At 42.0% G+C, this 27,450-nt stretch overlaps 1 protein-coding gene and 1 pseudogene across 5 annotated transcripts in view; one reads left to right on the plus strand and one right to left on the minus strand.

The window, feature by feature from the left end:
• Positions 1-13,605: 13,605 nt before the first annotated feature.
• On the minus strand, positions 13,606-15,046 carry STK24P1 (serine/threonine kinase 24 pseudogene 1; annotated as a pseudogene).
• The window catches only part of ADGRG4 (adhesion G protein-coupled receptor G4), a 115,928-nt gene continuing 107,553 nt past the window's right edge, over positions 19,076-27,450 (plus strand). For 3 of the 5 annotated variants that reach the window (XM_011531269.3, XM_047441830.1, XM_047441831.1), the window contains exons 1-2: positions 24,130-24,274; positions 26,882-26,960. In XM_011531269.3, coding sequence (XP_011529571.1) covers positions 26,891-26,960 — 70 coding nt within the window. In that variant the 5' untranslated portion in view covers positions 24,130-24,274; positions 26,882-26,890. Of the gene's footprint in view, positions 19,114-22,245; positions 22,321-22,967; positions 23,137-24,129; positions 24,275-26,881; positions 26,961-27,017; positions 27,117-27,450 lie in introns of those variants that run through there. The other 2 variants (NM_153834.4, XM_011531271.3) reach the window with 2 other exon arrangements.

Consider the following 27,450-nt stretch of genomic DNA (forward strand, 5'->3'; position numbering starts at 1 on the left):
TTTGGAGCCCCTGGGAGTGGAATGGAGATCTTCTGGCTACAGAAACATGCAAAGAAAGACACTCAAAACAGAAAAAGAAGCCTGGGTGCAGTGGCTCATGCCTGTAATCCCAGCACTTTGGGAGGCCGAGGTAGGCGAATCACCTGAGGTCAGGAGTTCGAGACCAGCCAGACCAACTTGCTGAAACCCCATCTCTACTAAAAAATACCAAAAATTAGATGGGCGTGGTGGCATGCATCTGTAGTCCCAGCTACTCAGGAGGCTGAGGCAGGAGAATCGCTTAAACCCAGGAGGTGGAGGTTGCAGTGAGCCGAGATGGAGCCACCGCACTCCGGCCTTGGTGACAGAGCGAGGCTCCATCTCAAAAAAACAAAACAAAACAGTAAAAGAAACACAAAAGGAAACACAATAGATCACCAGGCAATCTGGAGGGTCAGGGACCTGGAAAAGAGGGATGGGTTGAGTGGTAGACCTGGCCAGACAGGAGCAGGCAGGATCCTGCTAGTTTAAATGATCCCCTAGTTTAAATGATCCCTTTTGCTGCTAATCTGAATTGAGACCCTGAGGCAAAGCTGGATCTTTGTCTTACTGCTGGACTAGGTTACTTGCTTAGTAACTTTATCTTTTGCCTTTTTTCTTTTTTTTTTACTTTATTTAAAATTTGTCTGGATTGGATGAATCCTTGGAAGCCATCTCCAATTCTCGTTGGAGGAAAAACAATCAATAGTAAAGAAATCATCTTTCTTGGAGAGTTCTACCCCTAAGCCCTAGCTTGGTGACTCTACCCTGCTGCTTTTCCTACGTGCCCCATTGACTGCATCTCCCATCACCTTGTTCTCTTCCTGCTGCTTCTTATGGGCCTTGATTGACATGAGATGTAGCTGCTTGCCTGGTCAGTGGGTGGTAATCTTCTGGAATGAGCCTCACTACAAATGTGGGATTCTGATGTTTTCATCAGACTCTTCTTCAGTACCTGAGCTGTCCCAGGGAGTGAGTTTGCATTTATTCCATGGTCCCGTCTTCACTGCAATATTGTGTCCTACTTGACCTACTATGACCTGGTCTGAACTATGACATTAAGTGGAGCACAGCTAGGTTGTATATGAATATATTTCAGTCATTGAATACTTTACAAAGTAGAAGAAGCATGTTCATGTATAAGCACAAAAACTGATACAATAATTGTTCACCACAAAATTTTTCCAGGATTTTAGATTCACAAGCTCACTTACCCTTTTGTTCATAAAAAGTCTGAACAGGCACTAGGGAATACTGCCTCTGTTTCATAGAATCATTAGAGGCCTATTGTTTATTTCGGTCTTTCATTAGGCCCAGTGGCCAACACATATCACTCTTATTTAAGAGGTGTAACAGCAATAGAAAAATGTGTGAAGACTTCAGTTAGTTTAATTTCTGACTAAAGTTGATGTTTCTCCATGCTGTGAAAACTCTTGTATTTTTTTTAAAAACACTCACTACTTTTATTTTTTATTTCTTTTTTAGAGGCAGAGTCTTTCTCTGTCACCCAGGCTGGAGTGCAGTGGTGCATAGCTCACTGCAACCTCAAACTCCTGGGCACAAGCGATCCTCCTGCCTCAGCCTCCAGAGTAGCTAGGACTCTAGGCACATGCCACCATTCATGGCTATTATTTTTAGTTTTATGTAGAGACAGCATCTCACTATATTGCCCAAGCTGGTCTCAAACTCCTGACCTCAAGTGATCCTTCTACCTTGGCCTGTCAAAGCGCTGGGATTACAGGCATGAGCCATTGCACCTAGCCAACACCCACCACTTTTTACCTCCTTACCTAACCTATAAAGCATTGTTGCTTTCTCTTTCACACATCACTGCCCATTGCTGCAACACTATAAACCCAGCCTTTTTTCCTTTACCTGCAAAAGGAAGACCCTTTAATTGCTTACCTCTTAAAAAAAAAAAAAAAAAAAAAAAGGATCCATACATTGCACAGACCTTCTAGAGATTCCCTTGGGTAATGCTGATTTTATTTTGTTTGTTGATTATTCAGACATAAAGAGTAAGACCAAAAATTGTCAAATAGGATATGCTGTCACACTCCTAAATTTACTCTTAAGGTTGGGCGTGGTGGCCCACGCCTGTAATCCCAGGACTTTGGGAGGCTAAGGCGGGTGGATCACTTGAGGTCAGGAGTTCCGGACCAGCCTGGCCAACATGGTGAAACCCTGTCTCTACTAAAAATACAAAAATTAACCGGGCATGCTGGCCCGTGCCTGTAGTTCCAGCTACTTGGGAGCCTGAGGCAGGAGAATTGCTTGAACCTGGGAGGCGGAGGTTGCAGTGAGCTGAGTCACGCCACTGCACTCTAGCCTAAGTGACAGAGTGAGACTCCGTCTCAAAAGAAAAAAAAATTACTCTTAAAAGGAAAACTTCTCACAGAAATTAAATCAGTTTAGATAGTTTAATTGATTACATAGATTTATTAACTGGCAAAAAGTAAAATAATAAATACTTATGCTGATACTAAGTACATGGTTTTAGGTTAGTCTGACTTCAAAATGCCTTGAAACCAAGAGGTTTTCTGACCTTGACAGAAACACCTATAAAAATTGACACATTGAAGAAGTCTTGGATGTTTTCAGATGCTGTTAACTTAATTGCTGTAGTAAAAGTGGGGCATCGTTCAAAGCACAAGGACCCAGAAGCTTGTGATAAAACCTTAGCTGACTACTAAGCTAAATATGCAGTTTTCACCAAGAAAATTAGCCCTGTAATCACTCAGAAAAAAGGCTCTTTAGAATAATTCAATGAGATTGTTGTTAACCGTCAGAGATTGGCCTCTTTTTGAAAACAAAGATTTTGGAAAAAACTTTGAAGACTCATTGTACAAAAATAATATTGAAGACCTTAAGATGGCTAACTGGTAGCACCAAGTCTATTAAAAATGGAATTCATTAGCCCGGCGTGGTGGCACACACCTGTAGTCCCAGCTACTCAGGAGGCTGAGGCAGGAGAATCGCTTGAACCTGGAGGCGGAGGTTGCAGTGACCCGCGATCACCTGGTGACAGAGTGAGACTCCGTCTCAAAAAAAAAAAAAAAATGGAATTCAGCAAAAATTCTTCATGGCATTATCCAGAACAGGAGAGGTAAGTTGATAAGTTGGCCACAATATTAAACTGATATTGGTGGGGTAATTTTAGGGGTATTGTCAAAGGTGTTTCCAAAACATGTCCTACCTGCTAACAACATGGTCCTGCTTAACCTGTAAAGATGGGGCACAGACAGGAACCAAAGCCTTGAGGGCCCTTTGAACACCTCCAGATGGACTTCATACAAATGCCTCCTTGATGGGCTGATACATATGCCCGGTTATTGTTTATTTTCAGAATGGGTTTAAACTTTTTCTGTCAGAGAGCCATGGTCCTATATTTGTTTGCTAGGGGTGCCAGAATCTAGCATCACAAACTGGAGGGTGGGAGGGGGAAGATTTAAAACTACCATCCTTGGCCAGGCGTGGTGGTGGACGCCTGTAATCCCAGCTACTCCCGAGGCTGAGCCAGGAGAATTGCTTGAACTCAGGATGGGAGGTTGCAGTGAGCCAAGATCATGCCACTGCACTCCAGCCTGGGCGACAGAGTGAGACTCTGTCTCAAAAAATAAAATAAAATAAAATAAAATAAAATAAAATAAAATAAAATAAAATAAAACTATCATCCTTTAAGTGGCTCATGTCTGCTTGAGAAGGATGCTCAGAAGTGTCCAAAATGACACAAACACAGATTATTCAAGAGAACTTGTTTAAACAACAGAGATCGATTGCCTCACAGTTCTGGAGCATAGAAGTCTGAAATCAAGGTGTTGGCAGGGTTGGTTCTTTCTGTTCTAGGTCCCTCTACCCTGGGCTTGTAGACGGCTGTCCTCTGCGTTTCTTCATATCAATTTCCCTTTATGTGTGCCTGTCTTTGTGCCCAAATTTCCTCTTTATATAAGAATTAGGGGCCACCCTAATAACCTCATTTTAACTAATTACCTCTACAAAGACCATAACTCCAAATAAGGTCACATTCTCAGGTACTGGAATTAGGCTTCAACATGTAAATTCTGAAAGGATGCAATTCAACCCATAACAGGCCATTGCCATAACAAAAAATGAAATCTTGATCTCATTTTTCCAACTTGGGGAATTCCATCTTCTCTCTTTAGTGACAGGAAACTCAATTTTTACTGGGACTGTGATTAAGGAGCTCTGTAAAGTTCTGTCTTTTACCCAGAGACAGCACTGTTCTTATTGTCTACAGGCCTCATAAAAAGAAGAGAGCTAATGCAATTCTAAAACTAAAACTAAAATTAGCAAAGCTCTCAGAAATCCTACAACTTCCATGGCCTAAAGCAGGGGTGTCCAATCTTTTGGCTTCCCTGGGCCACATTGGAAGAAGAACTCTCTAGGGCCACACATAAAATACACTAACACCAATGATAGCTGATAAGTAAAAAAAAAAATCACAAAAAATCTCATAATATTTTAAGAAAGTTTATGAATTTGTGTTAGACCTCTGTATTAGTCTGTTTTCACGCTGCTGATAAAAACATACCCAAGACTGGGCAATTTGCAAAAGAAAGAGGTTTAATGGACTTACAGTTCCATGTGACTGGGGTGGCCTCACAATCATGGGGAAGGCAAGGAGGAGCAGTCACGTCTTACATGGATGGCAGCAGGCAAAGAGAGAGCATGCGTGCAGGGAAATCACCCTTATAAAACCATCAGATCTCATGAGACTTATTCACTATCATGAGAACAGCATGGGAAAGACCTGCCCCCATGATTCAGTTACTTCCCACTGGGTCCCTCCGACAACACGTGGGAATTCAAGATGAGATCTGGGTGGGGACACAGTCAAACCACATCAGCTGCATTCAAAGCTGTCCTGGGCCACATGTAATCCACAGACCAGAGGCTGGACAAGCTTGGCCTAAAGTATTAGATTAACTTTAATGTCTACAAGATCACCCCTGTCTGGGACACACAAGTTATCTAATGAATTAATAATAGGCCACCCTATGTATTTGGTAATTTCACCCTCAGTCTTAGAGTCTGTTTGATTGTAAGTAGACATGATCAATTAACGTAAGTGACCCATACCATAACTCCAGCTCTGTTACCAAGCCTCTGCATGATCTGCAACCTGGAGGTTTAGTCTTCCGGAGAAGACACTGGAGAAAAACTGCTCTTGAACCTTGAAGGTGAGGACCTTATCAGGTACTATTAACAATTGACACAGCAGTAAAACTCCAAGATGTTGGTGCTTGAATTCATGTTTCCCAGTGAAAAGGATATGCATAGTCTCATCCTGATTACTGGACATCCCTTCCGTCTGGAGACCTTAAACTTTGGATTCTTAGAAATCTTCCAGAAATTGGCTGGGTGTGGCGGCTCACGCTTGGAGGCTGAGGCGGGTAGATGATGAGGTCAGGAGTTCAAGACCAGCCTAACCAAGATGATGAAACCCCATATCTACTAAAAATACAAAAATTAGCTGGGTGTTGTGGCAGGCACCTGTAATCCCAGCTACTCAGGAGGCTGAGGCAGGGAATTGCTTGAACCCGGGAGGCAGAGGTTGCAGTGAGCCTAGATCTCACCACTGCACTCCAGCCTGGGTGACAGAGCAAGACTCCGTCTCAAAAATAAAATAAAATAAAATAAAAATAAAATAAAAATCCTCCAGAAATTGCTGGCTTCAGAGGGTGAATAGCTCCCACCCAATATGACAGAACAAGATTAATTTTATGATTCTTCATCCCCCTTTTCAGTTCCTTTACTCTTCTACTAACTTTGCTTATTATTCTACTTAGATGTCTTCTAGAACAGTAATGCAATGATCCCTTATTCATCCTATTATTATTACTGTTGTTATTATTTTGAGATGGGATCTTGCTGTGTCACCCAGGCTGAAGTGCAGTGGTGCAATCATGGCTCATTGCAACCTCGACTTCCTGGGCTCAAGCAATCCTCCCACCTCAGCCTCCTGAGTAGATGGGACCACAGGTGTGTGCCATCACACCCAGCTAATTTTTAAAAAATTATTTGTAGAAATGGGGTCTCACTTTGTTGCCCAGGCTGCATCCTGTTATTTTTGTCTCCTTATGGTCTCCCACCACTTAATTTTTTCCCATAACCATGGCTCTGAAGTTAACTGATTGCTACCTATGTCACCCCTACTCCTGCCTAACCCTGCTGACAAAAATATAATAGCTCTTCCTTTAAACACTTCAGGAGGTAGATTCCCTTTTATAGGTCTCTTATGGTACTCGTTTCCCTCACAGCATTAATCTCAATCTTTAGTTTTGTAAAAATTGGACCTGACCTCACATCAACAAAATGCTTCTGCTGAAGTCATTATAATCCTATCAGCAAGGTGTAGTCAATCAGGAGTGGACACTAACATTGGGAATATCTGGGTGCAATGATCAGTTTGTTCTCTTCAACCTTCTTTGCAGGAGCTGTTTAATTATACTAAAATTATACTAAAAGGACTTGTCTATCTCAGAAGCTACAAATTGGCTCACTCCTTTTGCAGTAAATGATAGTTATACTCCAAATATAATCTGTGCTCCACTCAGGTCTTACTGCTTATATATCTCCTTACATACCTTTTTAATATAAGAAGACCTTATACTTCCTGCCACACACCACCTTATCCTGTGTTTTTAGGGTAATCGTTAGAGATTTAAAACTACCCTCCTTTCTGTGACTATGTGTCCCAGAGAACACCCAGAAGCCTCCAAACTGAGGCAAACACAGGTTATTCAAGGGAATTTCCAAGTGGGATAATGGATTCCCTCTTTTTTTTTTTTTTTTTTTGAGACTGAGTCTCACTCTATCACCCAGGCTGGAGTGCAGTGGTGTGATCTCAACTCACTGCAACCTCTGCTTCCTCGATTCAAGCAATTCTCCTGCCTCAGCCTCCCGAGTAACTGGGATTACAGGCGTGAGCCACCACACCTGGCTAATTTTTGTATTTTTAGTAGAGACAGGGTTTCACCATGTTGGCCAGGCTGATCTAGACCTCCTGACTTCAGGTGATCCACCTGCCTCGGTCTCCCAAAGGGCTGGAATTACAAGCATGAACCACCGCTCCTAGCCTGGATTCCCTCTTTATGCTTGCACTGGAAACTGCAAATCCCATAGTGGGTGTAATACAACTAGAACAGTGGTCTGAAACTTGTCTCTGACACTAGTAAATGTCATAAATGACACACTCCTGCTCTGAAAGCCCAAGAAACTACTCAGAATTCATTAACTAGAGTTGTCATGGGCAATCACATAGCCCTTAATTTCCTCTTCCAACCAAGAGGGAATTTGTGTTGTAGCAAGTATTACTCGTTTCACCTATGTAAGTACTACAGGGAAAGCAGAACTGTTTGTGAGTATGCTAAAAGAAAAAGCCACCTGGTTGTCTCAGATATACCTGGTTGCATTCTGGGATACATTTTCATTGCCTGGGTTTCATAATCTAGGCCCATAACTTTGAGACTTTGAGACCTTTTACCGACATCTGTTTCTTTTCCCTTTTTTTTTTTTTTTTGACGGACTACCCCTCTGTTGCCCAGACTAGAGTGCAGTGGCGCCATCTTGGCTCACTGCAACCTCCACTTCCCGGGTTCAAGCAATTCTCCTACCTCAGTCTCTCTAATAGCTGGGATTACAGGAGCCTGCCAACACACCTGGCTAGTTTTTTTTTTTTTTTTTTTTTTTTTGTATTTTTAGTGGAGACAGGGTCTTGCCATGTTGGCCAGGCTTGTCTCAAACTCCTGACCTCAAGTGATTGGCCTGCCTCAGCCTCCCAAAGTGCTGGGGTTACAGGTGTGAACCACCACGCCTGGCCATGATATCCATTTCTGATAACTGCTTTTGTTAATTACAATTAAGATTGCTGATGCTATCTTCCCAGAGTCCTTTTATATTGAATTTTTTACCATACAGCCATTTTCATATCAGATGCAGCAAGCTGGAGGGACTAACCTCAGTCCAAGTAGAGACTACATTCTCTAAGCCAGCTCCTGATCCGCAATAGAGAAATCTGGGTATCATGGAGTAACATCCAGCAGCCTCACTTTGTCTGCCTTTGACCAAAAGAAGCAGAAAGAAACAGCCCCTCACATCTGGGAACTAGTGAGATGCTCACAGCTAGGCCTTAGCATTGCTACCAGCTGGCCTGGCACTTACAGCTAGACCAAGTTATTCTCCTATTGGATATTAAGGATCTTACAGAATATCAGTGCCAGATAAGTTGACTCTAAGATCATGATAAAGTAAGACAAAACAAGGCCATTTCATAATTAAGTCTAAGCACAGACAAAAACAAGATCACTGTGCAGCCCACAAAATGCCAAACATCTCCTTCTCCTGGATAAGATGAGTGACTGCTGCTTTCTTTCCAATTACTGCTTCAGTCTTGCTCAGTTTGTCCTCCCTAGAGATAGGATTTTCTGATATACCCAATGATAAACTTGTCCTCACTTTCTGATAGCACTGAATCTACAGCGAACCCTTTCTTCTTCTTCTTCTTTTTTTTTTTTTTTTTTTTTTTTTTTTTTTAGGCAGAATTTCATTCTGTTGCCCAGGCTGGAGTGAAGTGGCATCATCTCGGCTCACCACAACCTCTGCCTCCTGGATTCAAGCGATTCTCCTGCCTCAGCCTCCCGAGTAGCTGGGACTACAGGCACGCACCACCATGCCTGGCTAATTTTTGTATTTTTAGTAGAAACATGGTTTCACCCTGTTGGCCAGGCTTGTCTAGAACTCCTGACCTTGTGATCCGCCGGCTTCGGCCTCCCAAAGTGCTGGAATTACAGGCATGAGCCACTGCACCCAGCCAGAACCCTTGCTTCTTTTTTTTTTTTTTTTTTTTTTTTTTTTGAGACGGAGTCTCGCTCTGTCTCCCAGGCTGGAGTGCAGTGGCGGGATCTCGGCTCACTGCAAGCTCTGCCTCCCGGGTTCACGCCATTCTCCTGCCTCAGCCTCCCAAGTAGCTGGGACTACAGGCGCCCGCCACTACGCCCGGCTAATTTTTTGTATTTTTAGTAGAGACGGGGTTTCACCGTTTTTAGCCGGGATGGTCTCGATCTCCTGACCTCGTGATCCGCCCGCCTCGGCCTCCCAAAGTGCTGGGATTACAGGCGTGAGCCACCGCGCCCGGCCAACCCTTGCTTCTTTAAACCCTCCTGAATCACCCAACCAAAGCCCAAATCCTGTAATATGTCTTTTCTAACTCCCTCTTACTGAGGTGCCCCATGGTGTGTGTTTTGCCCTGTTGCAACAAGTAATAAGCTCAACTTGTTCAGCTACAGGTGTGTTCCTGGTAGTCTTTGGCTGGAAGGCAATGAAACTAGAGAACTCTGATGGGTGCCAAGGGCTGCTAATCAGATTCATCTCCAAGGCACTGAAGGAAATGTTTCGGAAAGCTAGACCTCTTCAAGAGGACTAACTTAAGGCACCTTACAGTTTTCTAGCTGGCTTGAAGGGTGTGACCTACTTGGATGACCTTAGCTCACTGGCAGATAACAAGAGGAAGAAGTCTATTGTTGGGTTTTGATAAGATTTGGAGGGCGCTAAGGGAAGGATAATGTTCTTTTTTGTTTGTTTGTTTTGTTTTGTTGAAATGGAGTCTCGCTCTGTCACCCAGGCTGGAGTGCAGTGGCGTGATCTTGGCTCACTGCAACCTCTGCCTTCTGGGTTAAAGTGATTCTCCTGCCTCAGCCTCCCTAGCAGCTGGGAATACAGGCGCCCGCTACCATGCCCAGCTAATTTTTTTTCTATTTTTCGTAGAGACAGAGTGTTGGCCAGGCTGGTCTCGAACTCCCGACCTCAGGTGATCCGCCTGCCTCAGCCTCCCAAAGTGATGGGATTATAGACGTGAGCCACTGCACCCAGCCAGGGAAGGCGAATGTTCTTATAGAAGTCTCAAAACTCAACTGAGTTATGTCTTCTAGTTAGACAAGCCTGCCTCTGTCTTCCCTCTGTCCCAGGTGCCTTTGAAGTCTGGCCTACCCATATATCCAGGGTTATCTGAGCAGGCCTCTGCCCTCCTGGAAGCCCTGCTACTCCTGTTTTGTGTCAAGGACTCCAGCCCTCCAGCCTTGGGGCTTCACTTGTGTTATGGGGCGAGGCTGTAGTGAATCAGAACTTCCTTTGGCCTCATGCCAACAGAACCAATCATCCTTGATATATCAGGATAAAAAGAACCTTGGAAGGTGATTTTTTCTCTCCTAGTATTCCAGAAAGGAGACTGAAGGAGAGGCAGTATGTTTCCATGATGAAATGTGTGATAACACAATGACCCGAATAATAATTTATGCCTGGGGTGGGATGCAAATGGAGGGAATTGCTCGAGGAAGGCTTTACAAAGGAAAAAGAGTATTGTGTTGTCATGAAGGATGAGATGGTCAAGGGGTTGGGGGGCAGGCAAAAGGAGCAGCATTTGCAAAGAATTACTTGAGCCTGGGAGGCGGAGGTTGCAGTGAGCCGAGATGGTACTACTGCACTCCAGCCTGGGTGACAGAGTGAGACTCAATCTCAAAAAAAAAAAAAAAAAAAAGGAAAGAAAAAGAAAAAGAAGGTGGAGAAGTCCAAAAGGGACCAGATCACAGAAGAGCTTTTCTTGCAATGCCACAGGGTTTTAACTTTATAAGTGGTCTCATCTGTCAAATAATTTTGGCAGAAAAGCCACATGGTCAGATTTGCATTGCAGAGAAAGAAATCTACTCTTTTAACACAGGTACATCTTCCTGCTTTTTCCTTTGTCACCTTAGAGTCAATTTTTAGCATAACAGCCTAAGTGATCTTTTTAAAACATGTCTTATCGTGTTATTTTTTTGCTCAAAACTCTGGCTTTACTCAAATCTTGGTTTCTAGACACGATTTTCTTCTAAAAGGAACCAGAGTCCTTAGATAAATGGTGGATTCTAGGTATGAGGCAAGGAAAAATGCAAGATTCAACATGAAACATCTTGTGCAAGAGTGTAAGAAAGTGCTCAGAAAATCATAGGTATATATATGTCAAAAGGACACAGAAGCCAGTTTGAAAGGGCTCCCATTAAACAAATCTGGAACAAATTCAACATCAACATAATAATAGTAATAGATTGTAACTCACTAATTAAAATAGAAATACATGAGTCCATACTGATATAAATGAATGAATAAATATGAGAGAAGGAAAAACTCTCCCTTTCAGTAGAAAGCTGACTAATACATTTAGAAAAATGGTGGAAGTAGAAAACCACCATTTGACAACCATCAGGTAAAAATTAACAATGAATAGTAAAACAATTGGTTGAAGTTTTTTTGTTTTTTTTTTTTTTTTTTGAGACAGAGCCTCACTGTCACCTAGGCTGAAGTGCAGTGGCACGATCTTGGCTCACTGCAGCCTTGACCTCCTGGGTCAAGCAATCCTCCCACCTCACCTCCCAAGTAGCTGGGCCACAGGCGTGTGCCACCACACTTGGCTAATTTTTTCTAGACATGGGGTTTCATGATGTTGCTTAGGCTGGTTTCAAACTCCCGAGCTCAAGCGATCCACCCATCTTAGCCTCCCAAAGTGCTGGGATTGTAGGTGTGAGCCACTGTGCCCAGCAGGTTGAAGTTTTGAGGAGGAACAGGATATTTACACAGGCTCAAAGCATTTCTCCACAAATCTCTTACACATCACTTATAAATTGCAAATGGGAGAAATGTGGTGGAGAAATGTGGTGAACATTACCTTAACCAAGTAATCAAAGTTAATATCCTCAATGATGGGACAAAGTAACATCGTGCATGTGCTGATGTGATGCACTGAGAATGATGCAACATCACTTCTGTGCTGCCAAAAAAGTATAACCTGAGTGACGAGGAAACCTTAGACAAACTCAAATTGAGGGATATTCTATAAAATAGCCAGCCTGTATGCTTCAAAAATGTCAATGTTATTTAAGTCAAAGAAAGGCTGAGGAACATTTCTAGATTAAAGGAGACTGAAAAACCGTGACAACTAAAAGCAGGATCTACATTAGAACCTGGATCAGAGGGGAACATGCAATGAAGGACATTAGTGAGACAGCTGTCTAAATATGAATGTGGACTGTATATGAAGTAGTAATGCATTAATGTAAATTTCCTTATTTTGATAGTTGTTATGTAAGAAACTACTCTTGTTCTCAGGAAAATGCCTGCTAAAGTATTTGGAATGAAGGGACAGGATATCTCCAATTTACACTCAAATGCTTCAAAAATAAATGTAAGGAGAAATAAGGCAAATGTGGCAAAATGTTAACAATTTGCAGAATCTGGACGAAGGATAAATAAGAGTTCTTTGTACTATTCTTATACCACTTCTGTAAGTTTGACGCTATTTCAAAATAAGTTTTTTAAAACCCTGCAATGGCTCCCTGTTCTCCAGAGTAAAACCAAAGTTCTTAAAACAGCCTGCAAGCCCCTGTGTGATTTGGCTTTTTATCACCTCTCTCACGTCTTCGCTCACCGTTTTCCCCTTAGCTTGCTCTGCTTCTGGCACATTGACCTCAGTACTGCCCTTAGAAAGGCTCCAAGCACCCTGCAGTGCTCAGGTTATATCCTCCTGCCCAGAACGCTCTTTCTTCAAGTATCCCCATGGCTTATTCCCTCATTTCCTTCAGGTCTTTGTTCAAACGTCACTTTTCAGTGAGGACATCACAGATCACCCTATTTAAAATTGCATTCCCGGCTGGACGCAGTGGCTCATGCCTGTAATCCCAGCACCTTGGGAGGATGAGATGGGTGGAACTCCTGAGGTCAGGAGTTCAAGACCAGCAAGGCCAACATGGTGAAACCCCATCTCTATTAAAAATACAAAAATTAGCCAGATGTGGTGGTGCATGCCTGTAGTCCCAGCTACTCGGGAGGCTGAGGCAGGAAAATCACTTGAACTCAGGAGGCAGAGGTTGCAATGAGCTGAGATCATGCTGCTGCACTGCTGCACTCCAGCCTGGGCCACAGACCGAAAATAAAAATAAAATTGCATTCCCCGCCCTCCTTCAAGAAATCTCTATATCCCTTTCCCACTTTGCTTTCCTCTGTGGCTTTTTTTCACCTTCTAATATGTTATATGCTTTATCTTTTTTTTTTGTTTGTTTATTGTCTGTCTACATCCAGTAGAACATAATTTCTAAAAGTTGTTTAGTTAATTAATTTTAATTTTATGAACCAAAACTAAATAGAAACACAAAAACCCCAAAACTGTTAGAGACTTTTCTTTATATATATTTTTTGGCCTGTTGAATATTTACTCCACTGACATTATCTACAGAAGCACTTGGCCAGTTTTTACACAGTGATTCCTTATGCACACTGAAAGGGTCTCCGCAAAAATGACACTATATACAAATCTGTACACCCATCCTCCAGAGCAATTCCCCAGCTCCCAGAGGGAGTTATCAACTTAAAGCAGGATACTTGAGGTTTCATGTCTTTAGTTGCCTTATCATGATCCCAAATATACATTTCAGGGTTTGTTTTAGTTTTTAAAGACACTTTCCTTGAATATGTGCACTATGGTTAAAATTAAAAACAAAAGTAATAAAATAAAATGATCGCTGGAAGGAGCTGACCCTCCCCACCCATCTGGGAGACTTCATCTGGCTGCAGCACAGCGAGGACTGTGTGTGTCCCTGGACAGATGCCCGGCACTGGGGTGGCCCCCGGTGGCGCACCTCTTCAGTGGAGTCAGCGAAGGCTCTTGCTGACTTTTAAAAAGGAGGAAGATGAAGAAGAAAAAAAGGAAAAACAAAACCCCAAATGCCAAAGGAATTTCAGTGGGATGAAGTTTCTCCACCACTTAGAGAATATCTGTGGAGCTGCTGCAGGAGCTGGCCCACTATGGTGTCGGAGATGCGGGGGCACACCTCCTCCACCAGGTAGATGGCCCCTCGAAGCTCTTCAGTGGACCCCAAGTTCCCTCCGCACGCCTGGCTCTTCAACTCTGCAAGCAGAGGAGAAATAATTGTAGATAAACACTGAGAGAAAGGCCTCTTTGGGATGTCTTTCATCTTATTTGTCTACATCCGATGGCTGAAGAGCTCCATTCTCAAGATTCTTGGGATCTTTTTCTTGGATTGTGAAGATCCAGTCCCCAGAATCGCTGCCCCACTGAGTCTTGGCCATCTGTTTCCGAGTTGGAATCCTCGGAGCTCGAGTCTTCTTGGCTCTGCTTTGCCCTCCATCTCTTATACCTGTCGATGAGCTCGGTCAAGTAGGAAGTTTTCTTTGTATCGCGTAGTATAAACTTGTGCTTCAATAACTCCTTAGCAGTGGGTCTAAAGCTCAGCTCTTTATTCAAACAGGCCTCCACAAACTCCTTGAGGGGTTTACTGTAGTTTTCTTCCAACGTTGGTGGGTTGTTCTTTGGAATAAGGAATAAAACTTTCATGGGATGCAGCTTGGAATAAGGTGGTTCTCCTTTTGCAAGTTAAATAGTTGTTATGCCCAGGGACCAGATGTCTGCCTTTGAGTCATAGGCCGACTGTTTGATGACCTCGGGTGCTATCCAGAACGGGGTGCCCACAAAAGTGTTCCTTTTGGTCTGGGTGTCTGCCAGTTGGCCAGCCATGCCAAAGTCCACCAGCTTCACCTCGCAGTGCTCAGACAGCAGGACGTTGGCCGCTTTAACACCTCTATGGATTTTCTTCTCCGAATGGAGGTAATCAAGTCCTTTCAGTATTTCTCTTAATATAGTAATGATCTGGGTTTCATCTAACGGGCCAGGTTCTAACAGATCTAGTGTGGAGCCTCCATCAGGATATTCCATTATTATCCATACTTTTGTATCCTTCATACATCCTTCATGTATCCATAATATTTGGTTACGTATGGACTGTCACACTGACTCAACACTGTGATTTCTTGTTGAATGTCCTCTATCTCATCTTCAGCTTCTTCCAGATCAATGATTTTTATGGCAACCACTTTCTGAGTCCAACTGTCAATGCCTTAGAACACCTCGCCAAAGGAGCCCTTCCCAATGTTCTCTAGTTTTGTAAAAAGACTTTCTGGCTCTCTGCTTGGCTGTTATTGGTGTATAAGAATGCTTATGATTTTTGCACATTGATTTTGTATCCTGAGACTTTGCTGAAGTTGCTTATCAGCTTAAGGAGATTTTGGGCTGAGATGATGGGGTTTTCTAGATATACAATCATGTCCTCTGCAAACAGGGACAATTTGACTTCCTCTTTTCCTAATTGAATACCCTTTATTTCTTTCTCCTGCCTGATTGCCCTGGCCAGAACTTCCAACACTATGTTGAATAGGAGTGGTGAGAGAGGGCATCCCTGTCTTGTGCCAGTTTTCAAAGGGAATGCTTCCAGTTTTTGCCCATTCAGTATGATATTGGCTGTGGGTTTGTCATAAATAGCTCTTATTATTTTGAGATACGTCCCATCAATACCTAATTTATTGAGAGTTTTTAGCATGAAGGGGTGTTGAATTTTGTCGAAGGCCTTTTCTGCATCTATTGAGATAATCATGTGGTTTTTGTCGTTGGTTCTATTTATATGCTGGATTACATTTATTGATTTGCATATGTTGAACCAGCCTTGCATCCCAGGGATGAAGCCCACTTGATCATGGTGGATAAGCTTTTTGATGTGCTGCTGGATTCTGTTTGCTAGTATTTTATTGAGGATTTTTGCATCGATGTTCATCAGGGATATTGGTCTAAAATTCTCTTTTTTTTGTTGTGTCTCTGCCAGGCTTTGGTATCAGGATGATGCTGGCCTCATAAAATGAGTTAGGGAGGATTCCCTCTTTTTATGTTGATTGGAATAGTTTCAGAAGGAATGGTACCAGCTCCTCCTTGTACCTCTGGTAGAATGCGGCTGTGAATCTGTATGGTCCTGGACTTTTTTTGGTTGGTAAGCTATTAATTATTGCCTCAATTTCAGAGCCTGTTATTGGTCTATTCAGAGATTCAACTTCTTCCTGGTTTAGTCTTGGGAGAGTGTATGTGTCGAGGAATTTATCCGTTTCTTCCAATCATGAGTGAACTCCCACTCACAATTGCTTCAAAGAGAATAGAATACCTAGGAATCCAACTTACAAGGAATGTGAAGGACCTCTTCAAGGAGAACTACAAACCACTGCTCAATGAAATAAAAGAGGATACAAACAAATGGAAGAACATTCCATGCTCATAGGTAGGAAGAATCAATATCGTGAAAATGGCCATACTCCCCAAGGTAATTTACAGATTCAATGTCATCCTCATCAAGCTACCAGTAACTTTCTTCACAGAATTGGAAAAAACTACTTTAAAGTTCATACGGAACCAAAAAAGAGCCCACATTGCCAAGTCAATCCTAAGCCAAAAGATCAAAGCTGGAGGCATCATGCTACCTGACTTAAAACTATACTACAAGGATACAGTAACCAAAACAGCATGGTACTGGTACCAAAACAGAGATATACACCAATGGAACAGAACAGGGCCCTCAGAGATAATGCCACATATCTACAACTATCTGATCTTTGACAAACCTAACAAAAACAAGAAATGGGGAAAGGATTCCCTATTTAATAAATGGTGCTGGGAAAACTGGCTAGCCATATGGAGAAAGCTGAAATGGGATCCCTTCCTTACACCTTATACAAAAATCAATTCAAGATGGATTAAAGACTTAAATGTTAGACCTAAAACCATAAAAACCCTAGAAGAAAACCTAGGCAATACCATTCAGGACATAGGCATGGGTAAGGACTTCATGTCTAAAACACCAAAAGCAGTGGCAACAAAAGCCAAAATTGACAAATGGGATCTAATTAAACTAAGGGGTTCTGCACAGCAAAAGAAACTACCATCAGAGTGCACAGGCAACTTACAGAATGAGAGAAAATTTTTGCAATCTACTCATCTGACAAAAGGGCTAATATCCAGAATCTACAATAAACTCCAACAAATTTACAAGAAAAAAACAACCTCTTGCCAACAAGTGGGCAAAGGATATAAACAGACACTTCTCAAAAGAAGACATTTATGCAGCCAAAAGACACATGAAAAAATGCTCATCATCACTGGCCATCAGAGAAATGCAAATCAAAACCACAATGAGATACCATCTCACACCAGTTAGAATGGCGATCATTAAAAAGTCAGGAAACAACAGGTGCTGGAGAGGATGTGGAGAAATAGGAACACTTTTACACTGTTGGTGGGACTGTAAACTAGTTCAACCATTGTGGAAGTCAGTGTGGCAATTCCTCAAGGATCTAGAATTAGAAATACCATTTGACCCAGCCATCCCATTTCTTGGTATATACCCAAAGGATTATAAATCATGCTGCTATAAAGACACATGCACACATATGTTTATTGCAGCATTATTCACAATAGCAAAGACTTGGAACCAACCCAAATGTCCATCAATGATAGACTGGATTAAGAAACTGTGGCACATATACACCATGGAATACTATGCAGCCATAAAAAATGATGAGTTCATGTCCTTTGTAGGGACATGGATGAAGCTGGAAACCATCATTCTCAGCAAACTGTCGCAAGGACAAAAAACCAAACACCGCATGTTCTCACTCACAGGTGGGAATTGAACAATGAGAACACATGGACACAGGAAGGGGAACATCACACACCGGGTCCTGTTGTGGGGTGGGGGGAGTGTGGAGGGATAGCATTAGGAGATATACCTAATGTTAAATGACGAGTTAATGGGTGCAGCACACCAACATGGCACGTGTATATATATGTAACAAACCTGCACGTTGTGCACATGTACCCTAAAACTTAAAGTATAATAATAAAAAACAAAAAAGAAAAAACACCACAAAGCAGAATTCATAATATAACTATGGTTATATATATATATTTTAGGGCTCTTCCTTGAAATAATTAAGAAAGTATTGATACAATCTTTTGAAGAGAGTTTTAAATTTCATTTATTGGATATATCTTCCTCTAGGTAATAATAAAAATACATGAAAGAAAAATTCATGTATTTTGGTCACTACTGCAAGAATTAAAGAAAGAGGAAAGAAACATGAAAGGTGGCTTGCCAGTTAAGACAGGTTTATTTTAAAGAAAACAAACCCGAGAGGAGCCTTTTGGCTGAGTTAGGTTAGAGGCACACTTTTTTACAGACTAAGAGTTTTTAAGGATTCAGGGTGGGAGAGTTTATTAGAGGCTTGGACTGCTTCTGTGTTTCTTTGTTGTGTTTATTTGGGAGGGATAGTTGTGTGTTTGTTCCCATACATATTTTTTTGCAGCTGCAAGCATACACCCCAAGTCTGCTTTTAGCTTCCCTATCTTAGTGCACCTGAAGGGAGAGGGAAAAAACAAAAAAAACAAAAAAAACCTTTCTGGATCTGCCTTTAGGTTCTGCATGCCAGGCAGGCCCGACTGCACAGGGAGTGAGCCGTGGCGCTCAGGACGTCCACTTCCTGGGACAGGACGGCCGGGTCACGGATCCGCGGGAGCCGGGAGGCCCGCGGGCCGCGCACAGCCCTCGGGCGGCCGGGCAGGCCAGAGCCCGAGGCCACTCCGGGCTCAGCGTCGAGCGGCTGGTCGGGTCTCCATGCATCACGCCGGGGAGGGGCTGCGGCGGGCGCCGGGCCTCCAGCGAACTGCCGCCACCGCTGCCCTGCCACTGCTGCTGGGCTGGAGCTGCTATGCCTGGCCCCGCCTAGAGCCTTTTCTTTTCTTTCTTTTTTTTTTATTATTATACTTTAAGTTCTACGGTACATGTGCACAACGTGCAGGTTTGTTACATATGTATACATGTGCCATGTTGGTGTGCTGCACCCATTACCTCGTTATTTACATTAGGTATATCTCCTAATGCTATCCCTCCACACTCCCCCCACCCCACAACAGACCCCGGTGTGTGATGTTCCCCTTCCTGTGTCCAAGCGTTCTCCTTGTTCAATTCCCACCTATGAGTGAGAACATGTGGTGTTTGGTTTTATGTCCCTGCGATAGTTTGCTGAGAGTGATGGTTTCCAGCTTCATCCATGTCCCTACAAAGGACATGAACTCATCATTTTTTACGGCTGCATAGTATTCCATGGTGTATATGTGCCACAGTTTCTTAATCCAGTCTATCACTGATGGACATTTGGGTTGGTTCCAAGTCTTTGCTATTGTGAATAATGCTGCAATAAACATATGTGTGCATGTGTCTTTATAGCAGCATGATTTATAATCCTTTGGGTATATACCCAGTAATGGGGTGGCTGGGTCAAATGGTATTTCTAGTTCTAGATCCTTGAGGAATTGCCACACTGTCTTCCACAATGGTTTAACCAGTTTACAGTCCCACCAACAGTGTAAAAGTGTTCCTATTTCTCCACATCCTCTCCAGCACCTGTTGTTTCCTGACTTTTTAATGATCGCCATTCTAACTGGTGTGAGATGGTATCTCATTGTGGTTTTGATTTGCATTTCTCTGATGGCCAGTGATGATGAACATTTTTTCATGTGTCTTTTGGCTGCATAAATGTCTTCTTTTGAGAAGTGTCTGTTCATGTCCTTCACCCACTTTTTGATGGGGTTGTTTGTTTTTTTCTTGCAAATTTGTTGGAGTTCTTTGTAGATTCTGGATATTAGCCCTTTGTCAGATGGGTAGATTGTAAAAATTTTCTCTCATTCTGTAAGTTGCCTGTTTACTCTGATGGTAGTTTCTTTTGCTGTGCAGAAGCCCTTTAATTTAATTAGATCCCATTTGTCAATTTTGGCTTTTGTTGCCATTGCTGTTTTAGACATGAAGTCCTTACCCATGCCTATGTCCTGAATGGTATTGCCTAGGTTTTCTTCTAGGGTTTTTATGGTTTTAGGTCTAACATTTAAGTCTTTAATCCATCTTGAATTGATTTTTGTATAAGGTGTAAGGAAGGGATCCCGTTTCAGCTTTCTCCATATGGCTAGCCAGTTTTCCCAGCACCGTTTATTAAATAGGGAATCCTTTCCCCATTGCTTGTTTTTCTCAGGTTTGTCAAAGATCAGATAGTTGCAGATATGTGGCATTATTTCTGAGGGCCCTGTTCTGTTCCATTGGTGTATATCTCTGTTTTGGTACCAGCACCATGCTGTTTTAGTTACTGTATCCTTGTAGTATAGTTTGAAGTCAGGTAGCATGATGCCTCCAGCTTTGTTCTTTTGGCTTAGGATTGACTTGGCAATGTGGGCTCTTTTTTGGTTCCATGTGAACTTTAAAGTAGTTTTTTTCCAATTCTGTGAAGAAAGTCATTGGTGGCTTTATGTGGATGGCATTAAATCTATAAATTACCTTGGGCAGTATGGCCATTTTCACAATATTGATTCTTCCTACCCATGAGCATGGAATGTTCTTCCATTTGTTTGTGTCCTCTTTTATTTCACTGAGCAATGGTTTGTGGTTCTCCTTGAAGAGGTCCTTCACATTCCTTGTAAGTTGTATTCCTAGGTATTTTATTCTCTGTGAAGTGATTGTGAATGGGAGTTCACTCATAATTTGGCCTGAAGTCTCCTTAAGCTGATAAGCAACTTCAGCAAAGTCTCAGGATACAAAATCAATGTGCAAAAATCACAAGCATTCTTATACACCAATAACAGACAAACAGAGAGCCAAATCATAAGTGAACGCCTAGAGCCTTTTCTACCTCCCCCAGCTGCAACATTAAATGCAGAATCTTTGCTTACTGGGCTCATATCTATTAATGTGACCTGTTCCAACTTTAAAACAGAAACTTTTTGAGGGGAGATAGAGTTATCTGTTTTGTTTGCTGCTGAATCCTTAGCATCTCAGGGTGTTGCCTGTACACGGTGGGCACTCAAATGATTGCGGACTATATGAATACTGTTATGCTTGAAAAATAAGTTGCAGAAGAACAGGTAATAATAGCTAATACTTAATAAAGCATTTATTACGTACCAGGTAGTGTTTTAAGTGCTTTACATGTATTATCTCATTGATTTTATACAAATAATAGAGGTGGATACCATCATCACCATTAACTCATGATCATCATCATCATCATTTCCATGTTGCAGATGAGGAAGCTGAGGCAGTGAGACATTAGGAAAACCATGTAGTATGGCTTCAGAGTCTGTTTTATTAGCTACTATGGTGTACTGTCTCTCTTGTGGTATGGCCCCTTTTATAGTATGTTTAAAAGCATGAGCCTGGTGCAGTGGCTCACAGCTGTTATTCTGGCACTTTGGGAGGCCAAGGTGAGACGGTTGCTTGAGGCCAGGAATCTGAAACCATATGGGCAATATAGCAAGATTCTATCTCTACAAAAAATACAAAAATTAGCAAGGTGTGGTGGTGGATGCCTGTGGTCCCAGCTACTCTGGAGGCTGAGGTGGGAGGATTGCTTGAGGCAGGAATTTGAGACCATATGGGCAATATAGCAAGATGCTATCTCTACAAAAACTACAAAAATTAGCCAGGCGTGGTGGTGGATGCCTGTGGTCACAGCTACTCTGGAGGCTGAGGTGGGAGGATTGCTTGAGCCTGGGAGGTGGAGGCTGCAGTGAACCTTGATTGCGCCAATGTATTCCAGAATGGGCAACAGCCAGACTCTGTCTCAAAGGAAAGACAGACAGACAGACAGACAGACAGAAAGAAAGAAAGGAGGGAGGGAGGCAAATTTATGTGATGTTTAAAAACATGTAGTATCATTATGCAAAATAATACTACACACTGTTAAGAAATGCCCACATATGTAGTGAAAGTATAAAGGAATGCATGGGAATGACAATGAGCAGGCAATCATTGGTAGTTGGGTGGTAGTTTTTAAGTTGGCAATCAAATGTAAGTAAAATTGTCCTTCAAAATCTCTTAAGGAGTTGTCAGCATAGATGATTTTTTCCTCCAGCATTGGACCCTTTTGCTGTTTCTATGGTTGAGCCCCAAATTCAATAGCTGGCTTGCTATTCCCCACCAATTGGCCTGGTGGGATGCTCACACCAGGAAAGGGAGAGGGAATGAAGATGGCTTGGACCTTCAACAGATTAAGGGTCTTTTCTAGTGTTAGAAACAGGGACAGAGTTGCAACAAGTCAATCAGCTCAGCCCTCTCTGTGGGAGGACAAGTAAATCAGCAGAGCCATATGGCTATCTAGGCCTTTGAGTTTCCAGGCATGGATGGCTCATAACATCCCGTGATAGCCTTTTCTGGTGCTTATCAATTCCTATTGTCAATAATGACTTATTTATATCTATCTCACATCTCAGACTGCAATTTCAGCCAATTTCCTACTTCTCTGTAGATATGGAGAGCAGATGGTCAACATTCTCCTCATAACCTTCCAGGGAATGGAAGATACCCGTTGAAGCCCTCCCAGGTGACAATTGTTTTCCTGACAAAAGAGTTCCAATTTCTTTTTTTGGTACAAATTTAATTTTCTAGTCAATTATTTCATTTGTGCTATGTTGGATTTTTAACAAAACATAGTGTTTTTCTTTGAAAAAAAAGAACACATGCAAATGATTACAATTCTTACCGTACAAAAGCATGTTCAGTGAAAACTGAGGTTTCCTCCCACCCAAAACCCCTCAGTTTCCATCTCTAGAAGCAACTATTCTTACCAGGGTCCTTTTCCAGAGATATTTGATGACATATCTAAGTATATATAAATAATTCTCCTCTAAATTCTTTTCTTCATTTCAGCAAACATTAATTAAGCACCTACTATGTGTCAGGCACTGTGCTAACTCCTGGGGCAGGGCACAGAAAGAACAGGATGTGTTTCCCTGTCCTCAGGAAGCTTACACTCTAGTAGGGGAGAAAGGCATAGTTTATGAAGTATTGATTGAGCGCCCTCTATGTGCCAGGCAGCATGCGAACCACTGGAGAACATAGAGTTCCTGCCCTACCAGAGCTTAGTGTTGTGAGGGAGACAGACCAATGAGCAGGCATGGTGTGAAATATAAACACATGCCAGGGAAGTGTCAATATGTTTCTTGGTAATGGCTCCACATCTTCTTGTAGGCTGTGTGACCCCACGTTGGGGACAGGTCACAAAACCTAAGCCTTGTGCCTACTGGAAAGAAGAAGCAGTGGAGTCCTTGACAGAAGCAGTGGTGCTGGAACCTGGTGCTAGGCGCTGGGCCAAGCACTTTACATACTGTGTGTTATGTAATCTTCACAGCAATATGAGGTGAGTTCCATGGTCAGCATTTTACAAATGAGGACACTGGGGGCTCCAGAGAAGTTAGGGAACTAGCCACAAGTCACACAGGTGGGACTCAAACTCAAGCCTGTCTTTCCACAAAGCCTAGGTTCTTATTCACTACTCTGATAACAGTTTGTGGGTTTTGGGGTGAATCATGGATTATTCCAATACACCTCCTCCTTCTCCATTCCCCTGTGAAGAATCCTGGCCTTAAGCTGGGTCGACTCAGCCTCCTATTAGACTGAATTTTCTGTTGAAGATATGAGATGAAGAGGAAAATGCACTGGTTTGGTAGTCAGGACACCTTGGTTCTAGCTCCTGCTTTACCTTTCACAAGCTCTATGACTTTGGATGAGTCATTCTACCCTTGGGACCCCAGGGGCCTCACCTGTAAAGTTCAGAGGCTGACAGGGATCATCTCTGAATCCTCCACGGGATTTTGGTGGTATTTCTGTCACCCCTAAGGGGCTGTAATGACACCTTCTGGGACAAAAACAACATCCCCTTCTTGAGACGAACATAAAGCCAGTTCAATAAATCTATTTACTTTCAAGGCGACTTGAAGAATAAATGTCCAGTGAGGGTAAATAGCTGGCTTCACCTTACAGATGGAGTAAGATGTGAATATGTTCATGCCTCTTTGGCCTTTGCTTTCTGCTCATAGTTCTGAACACTACACCTCCTCCTCCCCACTTTCTTAGTAAAGTGAAATGAGCCTTAGTCAAGTAAACAAGTACCCTTTTAATATATCCAATTTAATTAAAGCAATAATCAACTAGGAACTGAAAATAATCCTTAGTGAAAACTGGGAAAGAGCCCTCAAATTAATGGGTTATTGCAGGGTTGTAATAATCTGAGAACTTTGCCCATGCTGATTTTATGCTCAGGAGAGCAGCCCCATGACGTGCTACAAGCCGCAAAAAGAGGATCTACCCGGATCAATAAGCCCCATAAAGCTAAGAGCAGAGAGGCTGGTTTGATGCAGAAAAGAAGGTGACTGAGGCATGGACAGCAGAAAATGAGTCTCCTGTTTAGTACTTCTTTCATTTCACATCAAACATAGGAATTTAGAGACAAGATCTGGTCATTTGAGGGTGGGAAGTTAAAAGAGTCCAGTTCTCAGGTAAGTGTTTCTCTTCCTCCCTTCCTCCTTCCCTCCCTCTTTCCTTTCCTTCCTTCTTTCCCTCTTTCCCCCTCTCTCCTTCTTTCCCTTAAATTTTTCTGAACCACAAAATTAAGAAATACGCATCATGAAATAACCAAATTGCTTGAAATTGTGTGAGGTATAAAATTCAAGTCTTTAATCCTCACCCTTTCTTTCTCTTTTCCTCTTTCTTTACTTTTCCTCCTTCCTTCCTTTTATGTTTTTTCAAAATTATGAAAGTAATGTATGCTCATTGTAAAAGCAAACAGTACAGAATCACAGGAAGTATAAAGGAAACATTTAATTCCCATTTTTCCTTCCTATCTCTTTCCTCCCCTTCCTATCTTCCTTACCTTCCTCTCTCTCTCCCTTTCTTCCTTTCTCCTTTCCTTTGATTTTTAAAAGTATGTAACTAATTTATAATCTTTGTAAAATAACCAGACAGTACAGAACAGTATGGAAAATTCCTCATGCCCCATCCCCTTTCCTCAACCCACCTTTTCATGCCTTATATATAGACTTACCTTATTCCTTTTTTTTTTTTTTTTTGGAGACAGAATCTCGCTCTGTCGCCCTGGCTGGAGTGCAGTGGCATGAACACAGCTTACTGCATTGTCTGTCTCCCAGATTCAAGTGATTCTCATACCTCAGCCTCTCAAGTAGCTAGAATTATAGGCATGCGCCACCATGCCCGGCTAATTTTGTATTTTTAGTAGAGACAGGGTTTCACCATGTTGCCTAGGCTGGTTTCGAGCTCCTGGCCTCAAGTGACCCAGCTGCCTCAGCCTCTGAAAGTGCTGTGATTACAGGCATGAGCCACCATGCCCAGCCTTTATTCCTTTTAATGGTTGCATAGTATTCTGTTGTGTAAATGTCCCATGATTTATTTATTGGGCACCAGGTAAGTTTCTGAAACATACCTTGAAGTTGTTATAAAAGTTTAGGGGAAATGGAAGAAAAATATAAATTGGATTACTTGCTGCTGAAAATCCCATTTTATAGATAGCAATCATATCCATTTCTATAGCACTTTATGCTTTGAAAATTGCCTTCGAAATATCATCTCATTTGATCCTCTTCAAGAGCAGCTCTGAGAAATATGCAGATTATTATCTCCATTTTTACAGATAAGGAAACTGAGTCCCAGGGAAATTAAGGAACAAAAATATGTATGGCCTCACAGCCAGTTACTGATTCTCAGCCTAGTCCTCTTATAGCACTATAAATTTAAGCTGCATTTCATTTTGCAAGTCATGAAAGATTTAGACACCCCCTTACTTCTAAGCTCATAGTTTAGAAAATCCATCCAACTCATACAAATTCCCTTATTATTCTAATGAGAATGGTGGTAGAATCCTTGGTAAATATGAAGAGCCTGATTAATGGCTGGCATTCATAGCAAGCTCAAGATTCATTTGACTTCCTAATTGGCTTCTGTTACATTAAATGTAAAGTGGGTCTATTCATTCCAAATCCCACTTGGAGGTAGAAAGAAATACAATACGTTGCATTATCCTATAGAAAAAGAAATGTTTAAATCAGTAGTAAATCATTCAGAAGTATATTTCATTTAAAATCAGAAATGCCCATCAGCACCCTACTGCCAATTTTCTGTAACATGTTTCAGTAGGATTTGCAGTTTTAACACCATTTTGTTTGGAGAAAAGAGGGTTTTAAGTGCATTTTCCACATAAGACACTATAGTTACAATTAATTAAGGAGAGAAGCTGGGTGAACATAATGAAATGGTGATTAGATTTCTCTAAACAGATCTGTTTTAAAAATACAAATGATTTGATGAGTTACTTTTGTCAACAAGGTCTTCTTGCATAACATTCCTTCAAGAAATTTAGGATCATTATAACTACAAGTAGTTGAATTGAAGTTTGTGCATTAGGGTTGAATATATCACATTTTGGTTTTTTGTTTGTTTGTTTTTGAGACAGAGTTTTCACTTGTTGCCCAGGTTGGAGCGCAGTGGCGCAATCTCGGCTCACTGCAACCTCCGCCTCCCAGGTCCAAGGAATTCTCCTGCCTCAGCCTCCCAAGTAGCTGGGATTACAGGTGCCCGCCAGCATGCCCAGATAATTTTTTTTTTGGTATTTTTAGTAGAGATGGGGTTTCACCATGTTGGCCAGGCTGGTTGCAAACTCCTGACTTCAGGTGATCCACCCGCTTCGGCCTCCCAAAGTGCTGGGATTACAGGCATGAGCTACAGCTCCTGGCCTCACATTTTGTAATTATGCATTTAATGTCTGTCCTCCCCACAGGGCTAACTGTCCTATGATGGCAGAGATGTGTGTCTTGTCTTCTCAGCACTGTATTCCCAGGGAGCAACACAGTGTCCAGCACATAGAAGGGATTCAATAAAATTTATTGAGCTAGTATATAGATAAATCCATCAGTGAGGTTTCAGCCAGGCTGGGTATCTCTGGTAAATGCCTATCATGTGGTTGGCTGACATGACTTTAAGCAATAGGAAAAAACCCTTAGGTGGTATGCAAAGGAGAAGTGTGGTCACATACGCTTAGAAATTGTATTTTCTGAATATCTGAGCTGGGCATATTTTTGACTTTTTAAACACAGACTTAGACAATGAAAGAACACATCATATATCAGAAGCTTTATGGATTGATTCTCATGTCGAGTTTTATCTTTCTCTCAGGTAAGAAAATGTATTCTTATTATCTCTTTCAATGTCTCATGTATAGTAGGTTATAGAAATAAACCATTTGAAAAATACTACCAATGGAGATTTGCTGGGCTGCCTCTTAATGGTCACCTTTTGGTCAATATGGCTACAGAAGAAGCTGAAGCATCAGTAAGTGAATTAATTCATTCATCATTCTGTACTACTGATAGAGAGCTGGCCTCAAGAAGGCAGTAGCTTGGACTACTACCTTTGACATTTCTTAAAGCAACTCTGAAATGCCATTTGGCGGCTAATGCACACCTAACAGAAGATTTGGGTTTTCTTTTGGACTGTTTCCTCTCCTCCGTAATGCTTTATTTAAAGCTGTCTGAAGCATTGTGATATCATCTTTCTGTCTCCATTATATGTATATGGCAAGAATCATAGAATACAGATGGGGAAACTGAGGCATGCAAACAGCTGGTAACAGATTCATAAAGCAATGGGCATATATTCTGGAAGC

The sequence above is a fragment of the Homo sapiens genome, chromosome X, assembly GCF_000001405.40.
Source record: "Homo sapiens chromosome X, GRCh38.p14 Primary Assembly".
Lineage (NCBI taxonomy): Eukaryota > Metazoa > Chordata > Mammalia > Primates > Hominidae > Homo > Homo sapiens.